The sequence below is a fragment of the Homo sapiens genome, chromosome 8, assembly GCF_000001405.40.
Source record: "Homo sapiens chromosome 8, GRCh38.p14 Primary Assembly".
Taxonomy (NCBI): Eukaryota; Metazoa; Chordata; class Mammalia; order Primates; family Hominidae; genus Homo; species Homo sapiens.
Genome location: NC_000008.11, coordinates 123,657,938 through 123,668,511, shown reverse-complemented (window position 1 = coordinate 123,668,511; position 10,574 = coordinate 123,657,938). Strand labels below are relative to the sequence as shown.

Sequence of the window (10,574 nt, the reverse complement as noted above, 5' to 3'; positions counted from 1 at the left end):
CATCGATTTCACAGAGGTTGTCACCAGCCAATATTATCTTATTTGCTTACTGACTCATTGTCTCTGCTCCACTGTTAGAAAGGAAGTTCACCACTGACACTACAGCACCTAGAACAATGCCTGGCACATAATAGATGCTCAATAAAAGATTATTGAAAAGATGAATGCCTAACACAATGTCCTTCCTCCCTTTCTCCAGCCAAATTTATCCCTTGACTTCCACATTTCCTTTCAGTGGCAGCTCAAGCCTCACCATCTCTTAGAAGGCAAGACTTGCCTGCCCCCTCTCCTGTGCAGTTAGTGTCACCCCTTCTGTGTGTTCATTTCACACAATCCCATCACAGCACTTACCGTATTTTTCTTTGTCATTCTCTATATCCATATCCCTAATGAGACCAGGAGCTCTGTGAGGCCAAGAACCATGTCTTATGCATCCTTCCAGTCACAACACACACAGCAATTTGAAACCAGCCCAATTGTCCCCTAGAACTGATGTTTATGGTTTCTTTTGAATAAACATAAAAATTGATCCCGAAGTCTTAAAATTTGAGAAAGTTACAGTTGTCTTACCTGAGTTCTTTTCTCAGGAACCCAGTCATCACCCCCTCTCCCAAGATAATATCGAGGAGCTGAAATTATAAGACCATCACATCTGGGCAAAGAGACACCAGACCCTCACCCATCATGATTCCCTATCTGACCACCTGCTTCCTGTTGACCAACTCCTCTTCCTCACTCCTTCCTAATTTCTGTTTTCCCATACATGGTTACATTTCTGCCGTGCTATACAAACCCCTGATTTTAGGTGCTTGAGTAGATGGACTCAAGACTCTATCTCCCACCTCCTCAGCTGCAGCACCCGATTAAAGCCTTCTTCCCTGGCAACAGTCGTCTTCTCAGTGATTGGCTTTCTGGGTGTCAAGCAACAGAACTTAGACAAAACTCCTGGTGTTTTGGTAACAAATTCTCTATGTCTCTGTCCTCCTTGCCCACTAGATATAAACTGGTCATTTCCTCCTATCCCTTCTCCATCACAGGCTGCCTTTTCATCTCTTATCATCATCTCAAATCACATCATCTCTATTGATTGATCAACTGATTTGTTCTGCTTATCTATTGTCTGCCTCTCCCACTGTCAGTGCCTAGAAGAGTGGCTGAGGCATAGGAGGTACTCAGTCAAGATGTGTTTACAAATGGCTCATTCAACATGTTTGTTAAATGAAGGAATCATAAATTAATTAGCAACCATGGCACTATAAATCTCAGGGTCCCCAAAGAGCAGGGAGATCCAATGCTATATTTATAATAGTTACTTGTGTTTGCCAAAGACAAACAAGACACAGGGACATGCTTCATGAAAATCACATCTGAAACAAATGTTGGGGGAGGATGAGGGCAGGAAGAGATTTGGCTAATGAGCAAAATGCATCTTGAATGGCTCCAAGGCATCCACCAACTGAATTACTGACACGTTGCTTCTTTTGTTTGGCATTAAGAGCCCAGCTAGGAGCAACAGGTCTCTCTGCAGTTCTACTAATCCTATTCCAATTATTCCAATTATTTCATTAGAAATAGGTCCACAGATAATTACCCAGTTGTTCAATTTCATCCGAGGTCACATTGCATATGCAGCCCAAGATTAACATCAATATTGGCTGCAGGGGGTGACATGCAGCAAAACAGGTTTCAAATGGAAATTTTAAGAAGAGTAAAGGACGTTCAACAGCCCCTTTCCAAGAGGGGGCCTTAGGGTCACCTGCCTTCTTTAGGGCCCTCAATCCAGACTGCTGGAGAGTGGAGACATGAGATCTGCTGGCGATGCTGGCATCTTCTGTGTGACATATAATATCAACATTAAATCACTCTAGGCCCACAGCTCTGCTGAAGACACGATAAATCAAAGCTGGGCAATGTGGCAGCCACAAGGGTAGCGAAAGGTGAGCCTGGAACTGAGCCAGCCTATGGGGCCAGCAGAACAGAAGCCAGTTCAGGGCTGCCAGCCCCTAAAATAATGTTTCATCAGGATGGCATGTGAGGCCTGGCTAAGGCAGGTCAACCCCATTTCCCAGTGGACGGAAACGTATGGCTGATTCCAAACAGGTTCTCAAATCCAGAAAGGCACCCAAGAACTTAGCTGACTGCATTTCACCTTTGGGCAGAGTCTCTGTGAAGAAGACAAGAAGAAAAGTTACTCCGTTTTACTTTCTCTCTTACTGTGAGCAAGAGAGGCTAGTGAATTGTGCCTCCAGTCCCTAGGAGATGGGCACAGTGCCTAGCACAGCAGTTCCCACCCTTGGCTGCACAGTGAAATCTCCTGGGAAGCTCACAGAATGCTGATGCCTGGGCACCACCCCTGGAAATTTGCCTTTTATTGGACTTGGATTGTGGCGTAGCCTGGAAATTGGGAATTTTCAAATCTCTCCAGGGACCATCATGTGAAGACAGAATGAGAACCACTGCCCTAACACAGCCTCCGGTAGAGAAGGCCCCAAAACCCAGGTTCCATCTTCATCCATGGATACCCCTAGTCACTTCAACCCTCCAGACTCATTTTAAAGCAAAGAGAAAAGAACCACTCACCAACTCCTATCTCCAGAAAGTCCTTCTGAGACATACAATATTCTTCTATATGGGTTTTATTGAAGCCCTTAGAATTTTCTATAAAACCTTAACTCCTTAGACTAGCCTTCTGAGGCCTCCACCTCCCTGTTCATATACTCATCCAACAAATATTAATTGAGCACCTACTATGGCCCAATGCTCTTGTTCTCATGGAGCTTTTATTCTATTAAGGGAGACCAAACAAACAATGAAATGCTACAAATAGAATCATTTCAAAATCTGAAAAATACAATGAAACAAAACAGGGTGATACAGTGATACAACAGAGAGAAACAAACGGGAGGGGTGGAGAGAGGCTACATGCTACTTTAGGTGCTCAGGGAAGAGTCTATTTGATGAAATAATAGCTGAACTGAGTCCTGAACATTCAGGAGCCAGCCACGTGAGTCTCTGAGGGAAAAACACTCCAGCAGAGGGAAGAGGCTGTGAGAAGGTCTCATTGCCAGTCTCCTTGTAGCCCCACTTCTGCCCCTCCACTGCCATGCTGGGTGTCACCAGCTCCCCACCTTGGCACTTTGGATTTGCACCATCAGAGGTGCCACCTTCCCACCAAAATCTATTATTTCTTCAAGAAACCCCTTCTCCAAGAAGCTTCCTATAAGCAGCTCCTCCTCATTCTGACCACTCTTTACTTCACCTCTAATGTCTGTGCATGACCTTGGTATAAAGTTGCATGGGTATAAAAGCATGAGACATGATTGCCACTATTCATGACCTCTCTAGCACCATGCCTGAGCTTACACCGAATCATCATGCCCTTGATTTTATTGTCTTGTTGTTTCACCTGGGTACAATTAGTCTCCTCCTATGGGATCGTTTGTCCTCCAGAGCATAGATCAGATTTTCTGCTCTCTCAGTATCCCCAGTTTCTCCTAGAACAGAGCTAAGCATTCATTCACAGCCCCCGAACATTTATAGGAGGGGTTGACCATGTTTTCAATAAGTGCTTATTTGAGTGAAAGAATTAATTAGTAAGCCTTGCCTCAACACCACGCAGCCTTCATTCTATTTTGCACTATCTTTATCTCTATTTTATAGGTGAGGAAACCAAGGCACAGAGAGATTAGGTATCTTGCCCCAGGTCACACAGCTGGTAAGTGGTACAGCTGGGATTGAAACCCAGGTCTGTCCGGTATCAGATGCTGCACCACGCTGCATAACATGGCCCCAGTGAAGAATGGAGGTCAGTATTCCCATCGTTGATTTTCAATAAAGAAGACAAAACTCATAAAAGAATTAATAGAGGTGACCTGGTTCATGGATTGAGTTGATACCAGAGCCAGGGCCAGCATTCGTGGCTGTGAGAGCCAAGGCCTCTGGCTCTCCACTTTGCCATGCCCCTTTCAGAAAGGTCAAAATTCTGGTTGGGATTCAACCAAAGGATCTGATCACCACTGTGCCCTCTACTGATTTTGAGTGTCGCCAGGACACTCCTGACAATAGGTGAAAATGTCTAATGAAATGGCAAATGAGCAGAAGGGCAGAACTTGTGCGTTCACTTTAAATAATGTTGTCTTTCTCTCCCTCTTTCTCTCTTTTGACCATTTGATTGATGGAGACAGAGAAGAACAGGAGCAAGAAGCTAACGTTTATCAAGCACCCTAAGCAAGTCACTTAACCTCATTTGTAGTATGGGCTTCATGGAAGGCTGCCAGGTTTTGCAAACAAAGACACAGGATATGCCCTTAAACTTGAATTTGAGATGATGAGACAATTTTAACATAAGTGTGTCCAGTGCAATATTTGAGACATACTTATACTAAAAACCTTAATATAACCTACCCCATAATAATCATGAGAGATAAAAATTATTATTACCCATAAAAATCATAAGAATAATCATGAAGACTGAATAACACAGAGAATGTAAATTACTCATAGGTACCTGATGAGTAAGTGGCAAACACCTTGTTCAACCTAGGTTTGTTCAAAGATCACTTTTCTTCCTCTACACAGACTAGAAAATTGGCTATCATGGATTATTGACTCACAGTTTAATAAGTAAATTCACCTGAAAAACACCTGGCTGCCTCAGCATGTGGGGCTCTCTGCTCTTGCCTTGCCCCTAGAGAACTGGTTCTGTCCATAGACCGTCCATTGGTTCTCCTGTGAGATGTCTTGCCTTGGCCAGAGGCAGCTTCCATGCAGGAACTGTAACTGGAGAAATGGCCCTTTCCATAAAGCCACCCCCACTTGTGAGCAGTTGGATGTGCCCACAGAAAGAAGGGGAAAGGAGTGGAATCAGGAGGCCGGGCCATTAAGTCCAGAAATGTTGATTCCTCATGAGGAGGGATAACAGAAGGGATAACAGGACAGTGGTTTTGGGAACAATAATAACATGGCTGAGCAAGAGGAGAAAATGAGATGGGGAGGTAGTGGGAAGTGGAGGTTAGGAAGGGGAAAGGGCCTAAGAAGAGAACACAAGAAGAATGTTTGTGGGGAAATGTCAGGAGAGAAAGGCCTAATCAGAATATCTAGGCACCTTATGTGATGCACTGGGAGGAGAAAAAATGTTTTTCAAAGGTCCTTGGGGCCGGGAGCAGTGGCTCATGCCTGTAATCCCAGCGCTTTGGGAGGCCGAGGTGGGTGGATTATGAGGTCACGAGATCGAGACCAGCCTGACCAACATGGTGAAACCCCGTCTCTACTAAAAATAGAAAAATTAGCGGGGCGTGGTGGCACACGCCTGTAATCCCAGCTACTCGGGAGGCTGAGGCAGGAGAATTGCTTAAACCTGGGAAGTGGAGGTTGCAGTGAGCCAAGACTGTGCCACTGCACTCCAGCCTGGTGATGGAGTGAGACTCCGTCTCAAAAAAAAAAAAAAAAAAAAAAAAAAAAGGCCTTTGGACAAGCTTGGGATAGCTGTGAAGCAAAAGAGTTTGTCTCTGATGCCTTTCCTCCTCCCCATCCAGAGGTAACACCAAGTCAGACCACTCTCCCTATCCAGCACTCCCTCAATACCTCAGAGGCATTGTGCTAAGAGAAATACCACCTTAACACCCCAGGCCTGGCCCAGATTCAGTACTGCTTCATTTACCTCTCCAAGGTGCCCCTTTGAAGACCCCAACCAGCTCATCTGACAAGCTAATCACAGTACCAGAACCTTCTTTCTAGAGAAAATTCATGTTCTAATAACACCACTTGGAAAAATCTCTTCCCCTCCTTAACCTGCACTTTCCTTGCCATTGTTGTCTAACTCATTATCTGCTCTAATTGGGAGAGAGGGATTTTCAGACAGAAGAGAGGGCTAGTGTATAGCATGGTAAAAATGGGATCTTTGTGTGTCTCTCCAAACACACTCTGTGGGCAGGGAATATAACAGGTGTGTAGGAGGTGTTCAATCATTTTGTGTTGGAATGAAATAATCCATTGATATGACCTGGTGGCTCTCCCAGTTTCAGAAAAGGTTATCCTATGATCGTATAGTGTTCTTATGCAATCATTTCTGAAGGAACATCCACTGACATCTGGGACACTCAGCATCAGCTTACCCCCACCCCACACCCCATTGCATAACGTTCTACTTTAGGAGCCGCAGATAAAGAAAGTCCCCCTTCAGGCACTTGGGTTGAAGAAAATTCTGAAGATGAGAAGTGGAACAATGTGCACGTCTCCCAGGCGGAATGGTAGATTCCTGGTTCTATTATTACTACCAATATTGTGCAATGCCTTTGGGCAACTGGCAAAGCACTGGGTGGAATGAAAAGTTTAAATAGCAGACTCTCCAACCTCCAGCTCATGTCTGAAACTCCATGGCCTGCACTGGCCTGCCCACTGGAATGGAAAACACAAGGAGATACTCCCTACTTCCTTACCCGAAGCCCTGGGGACTCTGGCAAGCTTCCCTAGGAATGGAGGTTACCAAATCAACCATGTTTACTTTTGCTCACTCTTTCTTCTACCTTTTGATTATTCAGGTGTCAGCAAAAGTAAAGAGATGACAAGGGAAGCCTTTATCCATCCAAGAGGCTCCTGAATCCTGGTAGGTTCTGAGGATCTAACCTCAAGAACAAGGCATAAAGCTGGTGTTCTAATACAAAACAGTATCTCTCTAGTAGCACCTATTTGCCACCAAACATTATTTACAAGAAATAGTGAACACCTACCACCCCCAGGAAAGTAAGACTGATTAAAAAAAACCTTAGCAGAATCTAGGAGTCACTGGAATAGTGGGAAAGCAGATGCAGTTGGTCCAGGAGCCAGTCAATGACCTATTCACACTTTGCCTCATGAAGGACAGGACATCCATTCTCAGAAAGTCAGTAAGGAGAGAGTTCATTTCTTCTACACTCCTGCTCCTTGACTCAGAGACCCAGAGTACAGACCAATCTTAAAAACAATCTTAAAACTGACCAGCTAGTCTCTACTACACAGGTGACATCTTTTGAGGCAACCAGAGTACAGTGTTACACACACACACACACCATACCATATTTTTCAGAGACTGCAACTCTCAAGCACAGAACATGGCAAGATGTGGAAGACAGTGAAGAGTGCTCATGTCAAGGGATCCTCTGCCTCCTCAAAGTCGGAGTGGAGTCAGCGTAAAAACAAACAAACAAAAAGGCTATAAATCACTCAATTCGCAGACTTCTATTCTGCAGCACTTCAGCTTTTCCAGAATAAGAAGAGCAGTTTCTAGAGATATTTGAAGAAAAAAATTTGACCCCTAATTGTTATACCAAGCCAAGTTATTGTTCATAGGTGGTAGGAGATGGAGACTCTTGAGGATTCAGAAAATACACCTCTCCTATATTATTCCTTTAAAAAATTGCAATATCGGCAGAGGTGGGCAGATCGCTTGAGGCCAGGAGTTTGAGAACAACCTGGGCAACATGGTGAAACCCTGTCTCTACTAAAAATACAAAAATTAGCCGGGCATGGTGGTGCGCGCTTATGTCCCAGTTACTCAGGAGGCTGAGGCAGGAGGATTGCTTGAGCCTGGGAGGCGGAGGTTGTAGTGAGCCAAGTGCACGCCACTGCAGTCCAGCCTGGGCAATGGGAGTGAAACCCTGTCTCAAAAAAAAAAATGCAATTTAATGAACTCCTATTCAAAGATGAATCAGAATTAAACGTTTAAGAATGAGAAACTTGTGGCATAAAAAAACTGGCAGCTCGGGTGTAAATCAGCCAAACACAGAGCTAAGTGTAAATAATTGTCATAAATAAAAGCAAATAGCAAAGTAATTCTTAAAAGATACATTATATAAAATTTGATGACAGTAATCCAAGCCTTAATTAAACCCCAGATTATTTTCATAAAAGCCTGAAAATGGGAAGAAATAAAAGTGTTCTAGATTTGTTTTCTTACTAGCAGGGAATCAAAAAATATTTCGTTACTCTTGTTTTTGATCATTAGAAAAACATAGGTTAAAAAATGTTTTTGGAAAAACTTAAAAGACAGACACTTATAAAAATACAAAGAAGGAAGCAAACAGTCTCCAGGGTCAAACTCTCTGTCACCAAATTCTATTATATTTCATCTCTGCCTTTACTAATAAGGGGCAGAGGGCTAAGGTTTATTTCTTCCCTCAAAGAGCTAAAACCTAAAATAGGAGAGAGAGATGGAAACACATGACAAAAATTCAGGTGATATGAGAGCTCTATGTATAAAGATATATGTATAAAGTTCTCCAGAAGGTTACCAAGAATTCATGGTGGGAGGGTGATGAGATTGCAAGGAGGGAGGTTGGGGAAGGCTCTCCCACAGAACAATTTGGACACTTAAATTATTTATTTGTCTGTCTTTCCTACAAGATTGTAAGTTCTGTGTGGACCGAGACTTCGTCTGATTCTCTAGAGTCTGTATGTACAGATGAATGGATGATGGATGAATGGATGATGGATGGATGGAGGATGAATGGATGGATGATGATGGATGGCTGGATAAATGGATGGATGAATAGATGATGGATGGATGAAGGATGAATGTATGGATAGATGATGAATGGCTAGATAAATGGATGGATGGATGGAGGATGAATAGATGATGGATGGAGGATGAATGGATAAATGAATGCTGGGTGGGTGAAGGATGGATGGATGGATGGATGCTGGATGAATGGATGCTGGATGGATGGATGAATGGATGAATGGATAGATGATGGATGGATGGATGGATGGATGGATGGATGGATGGATGATGGATGGATAGATAGATGAATGAACAGATGGATAAATGATGGATGGATGGATGAATGAATGGATAAATGATGGATGGATAGATGAATAGATAGATGCTGGATGAATGGAGAATGGATGGATGGATGGATAGATGATGGATGGATGGATGGGTGGATAGATGGATGGATGGATGATAGATGAATGGATAGATGATGGATGGATGGATGGGTGGATAGATGGATGGATGGATAGATGAATGGATGGATATATGGATGGATAGATGGTGGATGAGTGGATGGATAGATGATGGATGGATGGAGGATGGATAATGAATTGATGGAGGATGGATGGATAGATGGATGGAGGGAAGATGGATGGATGGAAGATGGGTGAATGGATGGATGGATGAATGGATGATGGATGGACAATGGATGGATGGGTGGAAGATGGGTGGATAGATGGATGAATGGATGATGGATGGACAATGGATGAATGGATGGATGGATAGATGATGGATGGATGGATGGATTGGTGGAGGATGGATGGATGGATGATGGATGGATAGATGGATGATGGATGGAGGATGGATGGATGGATGAATGGATGATGATGGACGATGCGTGGGTGGATAGATGGATGATGGATGGAGGATGAATGGATGGATGGATGATGGATGGATAGATGGATGATGGATGGAGGATGGATGGATGGCTGAATGAATGGATGATGGATGGAGGGAGGATGGATGAAGGATGGATGATGAATTGATGGAGGAGGGATGGATGATGGATGAATTGATAGATGGATAAATGGATAGATGGATAAATAACACTTCCTTGCTTGATTCCCATTTCCCATAGAGATCCTAACGAATCCCACTTTAAGGTAATAAAATTTACTCTCCCAGTCAGTCCTTCATCTGTAAGCCTCCCACCTTCTATCCCACAAGTTGGTAGCAAATTGCCAGACCATTCCTGAGTGGTCAGGGGGAGGTGATGTTTTTGCCTAAATGCCTATCTCACCAAGAGGGAACGCCTGGTCCTGGGGAGCAGAAAGGCCAAGACAGTGTATTATTCTTTGTGACTCACAGTGCTGAAACAGGAGAGTAAGAAAGCATCCTTGGTCCTGTTCTTTCTTTCTTCCCAGTTTGAAAGCCCAGAAAGCTGATCTGTGGCATAAATGATGGATGAGGTCAGACTTTAGTTTGCAGGAAGAAAGAGGGGGGCAGACAGCCGGGTTATACCAACAATCTGCTAGCCATCCTGACGTCATCTGTGTTGTCCTTTTTTTCCCCTTATTCTCCCCAGGGGAAAAAAATATGAAGATATTTTCTGGTGATGGAGCAGGGTGGAGGAAGAGTTGGGAATGCAGACATTTGCACTACTGGCCTAGTCGGAGTAGCCTTAAAATTTTTGCTTCTGGAGGACGGTCGTCATGGCAACCCCTGGACTCATGGATCAGGCCCCCTTTCTGCCTTTGTCTGGAGTACAAAGTCCTTGTTCCGCTTTCCACGGGCTGCTGAAAAAACACACCCAGCCAGATAGACACAGACACAGATAGACAGGCTCTCACGTATACTTAAAAACATTTAAAATCTTATATCAAGACCCAGGTTTCTTCCTACAGCTTATAATGATTCAGTTAATTGCAACCTTACCTGTCTGCTCCTCATGTTTCTCTCCACCTGTAAGAACAGGAGATTCTCTGATGCTAGCAGGGGACAGCCTTCCAGAGAGACCGCAGCACCACAGGGGCCTTTATGTGCATGTTTGTCCATCCTTGAAACACAGCAATCACCATAGCTATGGTTCCTAATTAGAGTGAGGGGA

At 43.9% G+C, this 10,574-nt stretch overlaps 1 long non-coding RNA gene across 1 annotated transcript; it reads right to left on the bottom strand.

The window, feature by feature from the left end:
- Positions 1–987: 987 nt before the first annotated feature.
- On the bottom strand, positions 988–10,574 carry LOC105375738 (uncharacterized). The gene is made up of 4 exons (XR_928606.3): positions 10,403–10,574; positions 9,834–10,263; positions 7,052–7,143; positions 988–2,164 (listed from the first exon to the last, which is right to left on the bottom strand). It is a non-coding gene; the product is annotated as an uncharacterized LOC105375738 (long non-coding RNA).